This window comes from Homo sapiens, chromosome 10, assembly GCF_000001405.40.
Source record: "Homo sapiens chromosome 10, GRCh38.p14 Primary Assembly".
Taxonomy (NCBI): Eukaryota; Metazoa; Chordata; class Mammalia; order Primates; family Hominidae; genus Homo; species Homo sapiens.
Genome location: NC_000010.11, coordinates 132751789 through 132765225, shown reverse-complemented (window position 1 = coordinate 132765225; position 13437 = coordinate 132751789). Strand labels below are relative to the sequence as shown.

General features: G+C 57.3%; 1 protein-coding gene across 8 annotated transcripts in view; it reads right to left on the bottom strand.

The window, feature by feature from the left end:
- The window catches only part of INPP5A (inositol polyphosphate-5-phosphatase A), a 245694-nt gene that overhangs the window by 18255 nt on the left and 214002 nt on the right, over positions 1-13437 (bottom strand). Inside the window, exons 12-14 of one of the 8 annotated variants that reach the window (XR_945735.2) lie at positions 10841-10982; positions 7663-7823; positions 2210-6507 (exon numbers count right to left, since the gene is read on the bottom strand). The exons of 3 other annotated variants lie outside the window; for them this stretch is intronic. Coding sequence is in view for 1 of the 5 variants with exons in the window: in XM_017016205.2 (XP_016871694.1) it covers positions 10962-10982 (21 nt within the window). In the remaining 4 variants the exon portion in view is untranslated. Of the gene's footprint in view, positions 1-2209; positions 7824-8478; positions 10983-13437 lie in introns of those variants that run through there. 4 more of the 8 variants (XR_001747104.2, XR_007061963.1, XR_007061962.1 and 1 more) reach the window with 4 other exon arrangements.

The window sequence follows — 13437 nt, the reverse complement described above, 5'->3', positions numbered from 1 at the left end:
AAGCCCCAGGCGGGCATCACCTCCCACACCTGCAGGACTGGCCCACCGTGTTTCTGAGCGGTCACCACACACACCCTCCCACCCCTGCAGGACTGGCCCGACCATGTTCCTGAGTGTCACCACGCACACCCTCCCACCGCAGCAGGACTGACCCGGTCGTGTTTCTGAGTGTCACCACGCACACCCTCCCACCCCTGCAGGACTGGCCCGGCCGTGTTCCTGAGTGTCACCACGCACACCCTCCCACCGCAGCAGGACTGACCCGACCGTGTTCCTGAGTGTCACCACGCACACCCTCCCACCCCTGCAGGACTGGCCCGACCGTGTTCCTGAGTGTCACCACGCACACCCTCCCACCACAGCAGGACTGACCCGGCCGTGTTTCTGAGTGTCACCACACACACCCTCTCAACCCTGCAGGACTGGCCCGACCGTGTTTCTGAGTGTCACCACGCACACCCTCCCACCGCAGCAGGACTGGCCCGACCGTGTTCCTGAGTGTCACCACACACACCCTCCCACCACAGCAGGACTGACCCGGCCGTGTTTCTGAGTGTCACCACGCACACCCTCCCACCCCTGCAGGACTGGCCCGTGTTCCTGAGTGTAACCACGCACACCCTCCCACCCCTGCAGGACTGGCCCGGCCGTGTTCCTGTCACCATGCACACCCTCCCACCCCTGCAGGACTGGCCCGACCGTGTTCCTGAGTGTCACCACACACACCCTCCCACCCCTGCAGGACTGACCCGACCGTGTTTCTGAGTGTCACCACGCACACCCTCCCACCGCAGCAGGACTGACCCGACCGTGTTCCTGAGTGTCACCACACACACCCTCTCAACCCTGCAGGACTGGCCCGGCCATGTTCCTGTGCGGTCACCATGCACACCCTCTCTGGTGCTATTCATTAGTCATGGCCCCACAGCTGTGCAGGGCATGGCATTGAGCTAGAGCTCCCTCAAAACCACACCATATCCCAGCTCTTCCTGTGACCTCGTCCATTATCCCTGAAATGGGCAATCAGCAGCCTCATGCACACAGTCATTACCCTGTGCCAGGCTGCTACCTGAGCCACCGGCCCAGGCCTCCTGCCTGGAGCACAGGCGTTCACAGCCCCACTGCCTCCTGCCTCCTAAGAGGGTACAGCTCCAGTTCCCCTTCCAGGGAGCAACTCCCTCCCTCCAGCACCCACAGCCTCTGGGAAGGGCCCCAAGTCAGCTCCTAAATGGGGTGGGGATGCAGCGGAGGCCTCGGGAGACGGATGCCCCTCCTCAAAGGCAGAGTAGGGGCATGGGCTCTGGAGCAATTCTGCACATGCGTGTTTATGTGTACACAGGCATGTGTTTGCATGCAGGCACGTTTATGCATGCACAGGCATGTGTGTGTTTGCATGCAGATGTGTTTATGCGTGTACAGGCATGTGTGTTTGCATGCAGGCATGTGTTTATGTGTGCAACGGCATGTGTGTTTGTATGCAGGCATGTGTGTGCATGCAGGCACATGTTTATGCATACACAGGCATGTGTGTGTTTGCATGCAGGCACGTGTTTATGTGTGCACAGGCATGTGTGTGTGCATGCAGGCATGTTTATGTGTGCACAGGCATGTGTGTGTTTGCATGCAGGCATGTTTATGTGTGCACAGGCATGTGTGTGTTTGCATGCAGGCACATGTTTATGTGTGTGTGCATGCAGGCACGTGTTTATGTGTATGCAGGCATGTGTGTCTTTGCATGCAGGCATTTACTCAGATACATTCACACACAGGCCTATAAACACGCATCATCTCTAGGTCATTCTGGAGCTTGAGTTTGAGGCTTCCCCACATCAGAGATGCAGCAGCGTCCCCAGTCCAGCGTGGGCCCTGCTGGCTTCTCAGGTGTGGAGGTGAGGAGGCAGCAGGGAGGCTGCCAGCGCTAGGTGCCATGCGGTTCTTGGCTCTGCAGGCACCAGCTATGAGACTAGGAGCCCAGATTTCCCTAAGGCCTGCCCAGGAGCATCTATGAGATCTGCTGAGAGTCAGAAAGGAGCCACTGCCATCCTGTGGCTTTCACCAAAATGCTGATGGCAGGTTCCCTGAATCTCTATGATACAACATGTTTCGAGATTTCAGGAAGGCACTGGCAGGAGGGGATCAGATCTCCCCTGCACCACCAAACCCTCTCATTCCTCCCAGTGTAACTCAGACCTTTCAAGAATCCCAAGTATGGTTTTTAAGTTATTTATTTATTTATTGAAACAGAGTCTCCCTCTGTCACCCAGGCTGGAGTGCAGTGATGTGATCTCGGCTCACTGCAACCTCTGCCTCCTGGGCTCAAGTGATTCTCCTGCCTCAGCCTCCCGAGCAGATGGAATTACAGGCGTGTGCCACCACTCCTGCTAAGTCTTTATTTTTTGTAGAGACGGGGTCTTGCCACATTGCCCTGGCTTGTCTGAGACTACTGGCCTCAAGCAATCCTCCTGCCTCGGCCTCCCCAAGTGTTCTACCGTGCCCAGCCCCAAGTATGTTTCTATATTACCGCCATGCATGAGTCCACAAAAAGCAGCTCGCCTCAGCCTACATGTTTTTAAGCTTTACACAAATGTTCTTCTTCCTTCTTCATCCCACCCTGCTCCAGAAGCTCAGCTACTCCTGGTTCTCTGTGGGACCTGCTGGTGGGGCTGTGTCTCTCCATCGCCAGGTACTGTCTTTATGGTGGCCAGTGTTCTGAAGGCTGACTTGGCTGCTGAGAGAACTCTAAGTGTGTGGGTGGGGTTTTCCACCAGCTCTTTGACTGAACGCCTCCACTTCTCCTGGTGTGTATTTTTGTGGTTGTTCTGGAAACCCGCCGCCACTTGCATTCTTATGTAATAGGACATTTTTCCCACAATGCTTCAAAAATATTCTCTTCGTCTTTGATGTTCCGCTGTTTCACTCTGACATGTCTGTGTGTGGATTTACTTCCATTCCTCCTGCTCAGGACTCACCATGCTTCCTGAGGTTTATGTCTTGGATAATTCTGGAAAACGCCCAGCCATTGACTCTCCAGTGTGCCCCTCGTGGACCCTCACTGCGCAAGCGCTGGGCTCTTCCCTCCTCTCCCAGCCCCGACCCTCCTGTCCCATCCTGCCACGTTTCTGTGCTGCATTCTGGGCCATTCCCCAGGCCTGCCATCCCATTCCTCAATCCCTTCTCCAGCTGTGTCTACTCCGGCACTTAATTCATCCCTGGAGCTTTTAATTTTAATGATAATACTTCTATGAGTCCTACTTTTTTTTATCTGTTGGGATTTTTTTCATAGTGTGGTACTTATGTTTCTAATTCTGTCATGCTTTTAATAATTTACAATATTATAATTTGTATCAATTATTCGATGATTTGGCATTATTGACGGTCTGTCCTGCCTTTGTTGTATTTCTGGACTCTTGCTATCTGTGGAATGTGTCCTTACGTGGTTCACAGTTTGCAACTGTAAGATCGTCTTTGGTGGGTCTTGATTTTTGGGAATTTTTTTAGTTGTGACAATGAATGTGGACCTGCCCTCCAAAGTGACCGACTGGGTCCCTGCACCGCACTGGCCTCCCACAGCTTGGAGTCACCCAGGGTGACTGTTTATGGCTCTTCTCAGCAAGCCTCCGCATGGCACCCCCAGGCTCCGCCCCACCGTGCTGTCCCCCACCAGCCATGCCATCCTCAGCAAGCTTCCTCGTGGCACCCCCAGGCTCCTCCCCCACAGGTGCTGCTCACCTGCTGAGCACACTATTCCCAGGCTCCTCCCCACCATGCTGTCCCCTGCCACCCCCAGAGCTCCATGGCAGGGATGTGTCTGTCTGTCTTGTTAACCCAGAGCAGGGCCTGGCTCAGAGCAGGCACCCAGAGTGCTGTCAAATGAACACATGCCCCCACAGTGCACTGCAGTGCCTTTCCTGTTCCCAGCGTGTGGTCTCCAGACAATCTAGGCATTTGCTTTCTTTCTCACATCAAGTTACTGCCTCAATGACACTCCAGTAAAACTTGAAAAGCTGGAGATGCAAGTTCATAGAAGTCTCAGGGGCCCGTGCCACCCAGAGACGGGCATGTGGCACCCGAAGACGCCATGACCTCTGCAGAGCACACCAGGGAGTCGAGGTCGAACCAGACGTGGCACGAAGCCTGGCGGTCCCAGCACATTTTTAGTCTAAGAATCCAAAGAGCCTGGCTTTGTGTTTTGCTTTTGCCAAGTGTGTATTTATATTATGCGGATGCAAACTCTTTCTGAAATTCCCCCTGGAAACGAGATGCTCTCACCAGATGCCAAATTCTTTCTCTGAAAGTGGGTCCCTCTCCCCGCGTTTACAGTGGAAACACTGCCTGCTGTGTCCCGAGATGCAGGGCGGTGGGCCTGTCTGCCACAGAGTTAGACCTGGGGCTTCTCCTCAAACTCCCCTCAGGAAGACAGTGGACAAAGGACCGCCCAGGAAGGACAGGCCCAGCTGTGCAGATGGGAAACCGAGCGTCCTCCTGCCTTGACCTGGGCCATGGGAGAGAGGGGCCCGGGCGTCATGAGGAAGCACACGCTGCGCCACAGTCACCCCGTACCAGAGATGGGCACAGAGGAAAGGAGAGTCCTCAGCAAAGCTCCCGCTCAGGTGAGCCAGAATGACAGCTCTGCTGTGTGGGGCCCTCCGATGCCACGTCCTTAATGAAGTTGTCCCGGATCAGCATTCCTCCAACCTTCTGCAGTGACCCCAGAGCTTTCACAGCTGTGGGGGACGCAGTCCTGGACAGCACCAAAGTGCAGGGGCACAGATGGCCTCTTGCAATGAGGGCTCTGCTCACAGCGGGCCCACAGCTCTCATGGAGCACTCAGGGAGCTCTGGAGCCCAGAAGGACCATCGCCCCTCGCAGGCGTGCGGCACAGCGTCCGACCCTGGCTCTGCCTCCAGCAACCACCAGCACCCCTCAAGTCCTCAGCACCCCCAGTCCTCGGTGCTGGCCCTGTGCCTGTCTGGGCTGCAGCCAGGCCCGGGCTGTGCCTTACCACGTAGGCCTTTGAGGGCCTGGGGCTGCTGGGGCTGCTCCACCTCCTAGAAGCAGCAGGTGCTGCAGAGAGGCTGGGCATGTGAGCAGAGGGAACGAGTAGCTGGAGCTCTTGGCCGACATGAATTCGTTTAGCTTCAGAGAGCAGAGCACCGGGCTTCCTGCACGGTGTGGCTATCGCCCAGGGTGGGTCATCCCTGCCTCTGGCCGCCAGGGTCCACGGCGTGGGGTCTGTGAGCACGGTGCTGCGTGGCTGAGCACCGAAGTCGTGAGGCCGCAGCCCTGAGTGAGTGTCCCCAGCCTGGTGAATGCACCGGGCACAGTGAGCACGGGACTGCGCATCAAGGGGCACGTGAACAAGAAGAGGGAGAACAGGCCCAGGGGACTCTGAACAGGGCCGGGGGGCTCTGAGGACGCCAGGGCTACCTCCATGGGCTGGCGTGGGCATGGGGCCGGGGCTCCTGCAGGGTGAGGGGGTCACTGATGCTTACGGCCGGGGCTCCTGCAGGGTGAGGAGGGCGCCGGGCCATAGAACACAGACTGTTCACTGTAGCCGGACCCCCGAGAGCCCCCCACCACCTCCCTTCCCGAGAGCTTCGATGTTAGCAGGAATGGGGGTGCCTGGGGACACACCCTGACGTGGAGCCCCACCTACTGGAACTTCCGATGCTGGGCCCCTCCGGCTACCACAGCACAGCAGCGAGCGAAGCCCCAGGCAGCCCCTAACGCCTGTTGGTGCAGGTTCTGGAAGCCGGAAATCCCAGGCTGAGGTGTTTCTGAACCATTCCAGGCCTGTGCACCCTTTGCAAGTTCCTGAGGCAGAAGCCACGGAGTGTGGCCACAGCTTCTGTCTGGCATGAGGCGCCTCAGGGGATAAGATCCCCGACCCTCCTCTGTACACTCGTGGGTGGAGAGACCTTTGCCCAGATCAGGATTCTGAGGACCCCTCACTACCCCGGGGGTCTTCCCTGGTGCATCCAAGCTGGCACTGAGGGGCCTGGGGACTTCCTGTCCCCCTAAGGACACTGTTGGTCCCTGGGGGCTCTGAGCGTGTGGACGGGCATGGCCTCACTGAGGCCTGGGCCACGCTGACCTGCTGCACACTCAGGGCCTCAGTCAGAAGCATACCATGCACAGTGCTCTGGAAATCAGAACTCCGCCTTCGGGGAGAAAAGTCTCTGCAACTCCTCGCCCTAAATGTAAACAGAGTTCAATATCACTGTTGGCTGAACCAATGATTTGCATTGACAGGGAAACGTGATGGCAGAAAAATTAAAAACCCAGCTTTCCGATCCTTTTCAGGAGGAACGCGGGTCTGAATCCAACTGACGAAACCCGACGCTCAGGAGACAGGGCCGCCGGACACCGTGGGAGAGTCCCACAGCCACAGGAGACCCCACGTGGGCCACATCCACAGATGGCAGCTCCCAGCCTTGTGCTCCTCATGAGAGGAGACAAAGGACGGTCTAAGGCTTTTCAGCAGCTCTGGGGGTCCTTCCTCAGCACCTGCCCATAGATAAGACAGTCCATGACAATAGGAAAACAGCCGAGCTGGGGTCAGCTGGGGACCCATTCCATGGTGCTGTGCTGTCGGGTCAGCTGGGGACCCACATCATCGCACTGGCCCATGGGGTCAGCTGGGGACCCAACGACATTGCACTGGCCCATAGGGTCAGCTGGGGACTCAGGTCATGGCACTGGGCTGTGGGGTCGGCCGGGCACCCACGCCATGGTGCTGGGCTGTGGGGTCAGCCAAGGACCCACGACATCGCACTGGCCTGTGGGGTCAGCCAAGGACCCACACCACGGCACTGTGTTGTGGGGTCAGCCAGGGACCCACAACATTGCACTGGCCTGTGGGGTCGGCCGGGGACCCACGCCATGGTGCCGGGCTATGGGTGTGGGGTCAGCCAGGGACCCACAACATCGCACTGGCCTGTGGGGTCGGCCGGGGACCCACGCCATGGTGCCGGGCTGTGGGGTCAGCCAGGGACCCACGACATCGCACTGGCCTGTGGGGTCGGCCGGGGACCCACGCCATGGTGCCGGGCTATGGGTGTGGGGTCAGCCAGGGACCCACAACATCGCACTGGCCTGTGGGGTCGGCCGGGGACCCACGCCATGGTGCCGGGCTATGGGGTCAGCCAAGGACCCACGACATCACACTGGCCTGTGGGGTCAGCCAGGGACCCACACCACGGCACTGTGTTGTGGGGTCAGCCAGAGACCCACAACATTGCACTGGCCTGTGGGGTCGGCCGGGCACCCACGCCATGGTGCTGGGCTGTGGGGTCAGCCAAGGACCCACGACATCGCACTGGCCTGTGGGGTCAGCCGGGGACCCACACCACGGCACTGTGTTGTGGGGTCAGCCAGGGACCCACGACATCGCACTGGCCTGTGGGGTCGGCCGGGCACCCACGCCATGGTGCTGGGCTGTGGGGTCAGCCAGGGACCCACGACATCGCACTGGCCTGTGGGGTCGGCCGGGGACCCACGCCATGGTGCCGGGCTGTGGGGCTCGGCTTTCCAGCCTCTCTGCTCCGCTGTGGTCCAGCCCTCAATAGCCACCAAGTCATCCTTCCAGGCTGTTTGGCAAGGGTTCTGCACACACACAGTCACGTGTCACGGAACGACGGGGATACGGTCTGAGAAACGCACCCTTAGGCGATTTCGCTGTGGGACATCACAGCGCGTGTACGCTCCACGCCTGGGCTGTACAGTGGGAGGCCCGTGGCTCCAGGGCTGCAGACCCGCACAGCAGGCCACCGACCACCGCAGGTGGCGTAACACACTGTAAGTACCTGCGCATCTGAACATACCTAAACGTAGAGAGGGAACAGTAAAAACAAGGTCTAAAGAAGAAAAAGCGTGCACCTCTGCGGAGCCCCGCTCGCGAAGGGAGCTGGCAGGGCTGGGACGGGCTCGGGGTGAGCTGGTGAGCGGGCGGGGGTGAGCGGGAAGGCCTGGGATCAACTGTGCACTGCAGACTTTAGAAATGCCCAGCGCTGAGAGTAACAGAATGTCAGACTTTATAAATACGGAACGCTGAGACGCTAAGAGTAACATAATGTACTGAAATGTATTTTCTCGTAATAAGTTAACCTTAACTTATTGTAACTTTTTTACTTTATAAACTTTAACATTTTTCAACTTTTTCACTCTTTTGTCAAATAGTACTTGGCTTAAAACACATTGTATAGCTGTATAAAATATTGTTTATATATTCTATAAACTTTTTGCCTATTCTTTATATTTAATATTTCAAAATCTTAAAACATTTTTTGATAACAATGAAGACAACGACACAGACATGAGCCTAGGCCCGCACAGGGTCAGGATCATCGACGTTCCTCTCTGCCGCCTCTGCGTCCCACGGAAAGGCCCTCAGGGGCAACCACCCGCATGCAGCCTCATCTCCTGTGATAACGGCGCCTTCTTCTCCGTGGACCTGCCTGAAGGACCTGCCTGAGGCTGTTTACAGGTACCTTTTTTTATTAAGTAGAAGGAGTGCATTACAGTAATGGTAAGAAGTGTGGGAGAAGAAACGCAGACACCAGTAACACAGTTGTTTGTTGTTGCTCTGAAGTACGACACACTGCGCATCCCTGAGTGTGCCAGACTCTCCCACAGCAGGCGGCGCAGCGGCTCCTTCACACCAGTGCCGCCACGCTGTGATGTCACAACAGTTACATCACACAGCGAGAGGAAGCTTTCAGTCCTATCGTCAGATTATCAAACCTTAGTCACATATGTAGTCTGTTGTTGACTGAAACGACATTATGTGACGTGACTGTATACACACACGCACACACACAAGTGCATACAAGTACACGCACACATACACACACACGAGTGCACACGTGTACACACACATGCATACACCACACACGAGTGCACACATGCATACACACATACACCACACACACTAGTGCACATGCACACGCATGCGTACACACCACACACGTGAGTGCACACATGTACACGCATACATACACCACACAAAGTGCACACATGTACACGCACACACATATGTGTACACACACACACTCCCCCCCCACACTTGCTTTTCTCTTCAATTCCTGACCGGGCCGAGGAATTCCAGGCCAGGCGGATTCTGAGTGTGTTGCCATCTTTACTTCTGAGCTGCAAATCTGACCACCCAATGATGGGGTCCCTATGAGCAGCTCTGGGGATGCCTCCCTGGGGCCCAGGCAGAGGCGACTCCACACTGTTTGGTGTGTGCACAGGTGTGCCTGGACATATGTCTGAGGGCTGTGTGTGCCAGGTACATGTGCCAAACGTTTGTGTCTGGATACGTGTATGGCTGGACTGCAGGGGATGGCTTCACTGTCACCACTGAACACTCCCCAGTCTTCCTCAGTCTCCAAGAGAGACCTGCAGAGCCGTGTCAGGCCCCTGGAGCCTCCTCTGGGGTCAGCACCTGCTCCTGGGTGGCCAGGACCTCCCTCAGGCCTCAGCGGCTGCCGCTAGGGTCTGCCTAAACTTTCTAACTAAAAAGCAAACCACCCCCCACACACACCCACTCACATGCACACACCTGCTCACGCTCATGCATGCACACGCCTGCTCACACACACACACACACCCACTCACTCATATGCATATGCCTGCTCACACACACTCGCTCACACCTGCTCTCATGCACACACCCACTCATATGCATATGCCTGCTCACACACTCGCTCACACCTGCTCTCATGCACACACCCACTCATATGCGTATGCCTGCTCACACACACTCGCTCACACCTGCTCTCATGCACACACCCACTCATATGCATATGCCTGCTCACACACACTCGCTCACACCTGCTCTCACGCACACTCCCACTCATATGCATGTCTGCTCACACACACGCTCACACAGCTCACACACTCGCCCACTCAAATGCATATGCATACACGCTCACACACACGCTCATGAAGGCTCACATGCACACACCTGCTCACACCTGCTCATGCATGTACACGCCTGCTCACACATGCACACACCCGCTCATGTGCATATGCCTGCTCTCACACATGCTCACACACGCTCATATGCATATGCTTGCTCACACATGCTGACACACCTGCTCACACGCCAGCTCACACACTTGCCTGCTCACATGCATATGCACATATGATCACACACACGCATATGATCACACACATGCATACGATCACACACACGCATACTCACACAGGCTCACATGCATATGCCTGCTCACACACGTCCGCACACATGCCTGCTTATACACACACTTGCCCATTCACATGCATATGCACGCACACTCATGCATACTCCTACAGGCTCACATGCATATGCCTGCTCACACACATATCCACGCACACACGCTGACACACACTCCAATAGGAACAACCCCAAGGCAAGTTGTGGGGAAGCTGGAAAACTCCAGGAAGAAGGAGCAGGCTGGGGCTGCCCAAGGTTTTCGGTGGCTGGGGGCCCCCTCCTTCCCATGGGGACTGAATGGGATTCCTCGGCCGGCATCCTGCCTGGGTGGTGGTGTTTCAGGACTGCTCAGTGGACCAAGGCCACTTTCCCACCCTGTCTTCTGAGTTAGAAGGCCCCCAGTTTTGGCAGTGCAAAGTAAAAATAAAAGGAAATTCGTGTGTGGTTTGAAGTGAACTTGAACCTTCAAGCTGCTTAAACGGTACTGGAGCCAGGGGTGGAGGGGTGAGGGCCCCAGGCTGTCCTCTGTCCACTGTGATGCCCCAGGCCCATAGGTGCTCGCCCCCACACACTGACCAGCCCTGAGCCTGGTGCCTGAGAGAAAACCCCAGGGCAGTCCGGCTGGGAATCCCCATCGCTCACTCGTGAGGCTGTCTCCTGACAGAGGTGTCCTGGCCTGGGCCTGCCTCCATCCTCATTGGACACGGGCTCACCGTGCTGCTCCCACGTCGGCACTGTGCCAGACACTCCAAACACGCGGTCTTTACCCCACGGGTCTTCCCACCTACAGGGCAGGCAGAGGTACACACGACCATGATACAAACGCAAGGCTGCGCAGGGACCATGGCGGCCAGGTGGCGGGGGGATCCTGTGTGGCGGGAGGGTCCTGGCATGTCCCTGCTCAGCCACTGGTTCTGAGAAGTCGGAGGGAGCCTCACCCTGCATGGCTGGCATGGGGGCTGTTGCCCCCGGAATGATGTGGGTGAGGGCCCCTGCTGCGGCTGGAACAAAATACCAGACAGGAGAGGTTTCTGATTAGAAACTGCGCACGTTGCTGTTGAATTGATAATTTGTATCTCTCTGAGATTTTTCACAAACATGATCACCAATTTCGCATGGTCTCCCACATTCTTCTTGATTACAAAGTGAAGGCAGGCAGGGCCGTGTGGACAATGACAAGGCAGCGGCTGATCCTGCCCATCTGTCAGGAGCTGTCCCGGCCGCCGCTCACGCCACTCCTGCAGAGACACTGGCGCTGATAAAGGAAAGAGGCCCAGAAAATCAATGCACCTGGGGCTACAGCGGTTGCTAAACACACAGAAAACACCTCCCTCCAAGAGGCCGGTGCTGCGGAAACTCCCAAGCCCGGCCCTGGGACAGCCGAGGAAAATTTAATCTCTCCAAATCCTCACCAGGGCACTCCATCCTGCAGCCCTGACAGCTACACTTATAATTAATTATACAATTTCGATGGGAATATCGACTAAACAAAGCTATAAATCATAGAAAAAGTCAATAGGCATGGACACATTCAATCATGTCCCGGCCAATGATTACTACTCTTAAAATACAATAATTATTTTCAGGAGCCAGCCTGAATTAAATTTCTGTCAGACGGGTACAAGACCGGCGGTTGATGAAGGATGCAATGGACTTGGGGCTGCGACCGGCGCAGGCACATCCATCCTGCGGACGGAGAGTTTGCTCTCCATGGCTGCGGTGCTGTGTGTTTAACCGGACCGTGGAGATGGGATTATCTCCCCAGGCTCCCCGTCCGACCACCTTGACCCTCCGTCGATGGGGACAACTGCCAATTTCTGGGCACAACTGACTCGGCATGCCGGCACCTCGGGCAAGTGCGAGGGCACCCGGGTCAGCAGGAACCCATGGGGCGTTCCCGAAGGTGCCGTCGTCCCAGGCCCCAAACAGAGAGGATCTGAGTAGCAGGACAGGAACGCCGAGGCATCGGCTCTTCTCATGAGAAACAGCCTCAGAAGGCGCCTCCTGAGCTCAGGCCGCCTTTCCACATGGGACTCCCGACGTATCGACACAGTGCACCAGGCCTCCGCAATCACACCGGGTGCCTCACGTGGCTTCAACCCCACAGCGTGTTTTCATTCAGAACCAAATCCAAAAGTTCTCTCAAATATTCAGATTAATTTTCCTCTAAAGGTAGGAAACACTGTACGGTATGGTGGCTACCGACAGCAGGGGCGTGCTCTGTGTCAAAATGCTGAGAGAAAAGGAGGACTTTGGATCCACATGAAAGACAATTGCTCCCAGATGCTCTAGACACACCCCTCCATGCCGCACCGCCTCCACGCCGCACCCCCTCCATGCCGCACCCCCTCCACGCCCCGTGCCCCTCCACGCCCCGTGTCCCTCCATGCCACACCCCACTCCATGCCACACCCCACTCCATGCCACACCCCTCCATGCCACACCTCCTCACCACTCCCCTCCACGCCACACCTCCTCGCCACGCCCCTCCACGCCACACCTCCTCCACGCCACGCCCCTCCACACTGCACCCCTTCCACTCTGCACCCCTCTCCATGCCACACCCCCCTCCACGCCACAGCCCCCTCCACATCACACGCCCCTCCATGCCGCACCCCACTCCACGCAGCCCCGGCTGGGAACTGTCCCCTGCCACCACCCTACCTGTGGCTGAGGGAGCCTCCCTCTTCCCTGTCTCCTAGCTCCTTCCAAAACATTCCATCTCCCTGGGCTTCCCTGGCATCCTCCTCCAAGGGACCCTCCACTTTTTCATGCCCTGTGCAAGGTCCCCGGAGACTTTGCTCCCCTGGCACTGAGGAGCCAGCTCTGCTAGGGACCCTGAAAGCACCTCCTCCAAACGACGGCAGCCCTGTCTCCCTCCTGGGCACCTGCCTCCACCCAGACGCCTCCTGGGCACCCGCCTCCACCCAGACACCTCCTGGGCACCCGCCTCCACCCAGACGCCTCCTGGGCACCCCCCTTCACGCAGACGCTTCCTGGGCACCTGCCTCTACCCAGACGCCTCCTGGGCACCCGCCTCTACCCAGACACGTCCTGTGCACCCCCTTTCACGCAGACGCCTCCTGGGCACCCGCCTCTACCCAGACACCTCCTGGGCACCCGCCTCCACCCAGACACCTCCTAGGCACCCGCCTCCATCCAGAGACCTCCTGGGCACCCGCCTCCACGAAGGCACTTCCTGGGCACCTGCCTCCACCCAGACACCTCCTGGGCACCTG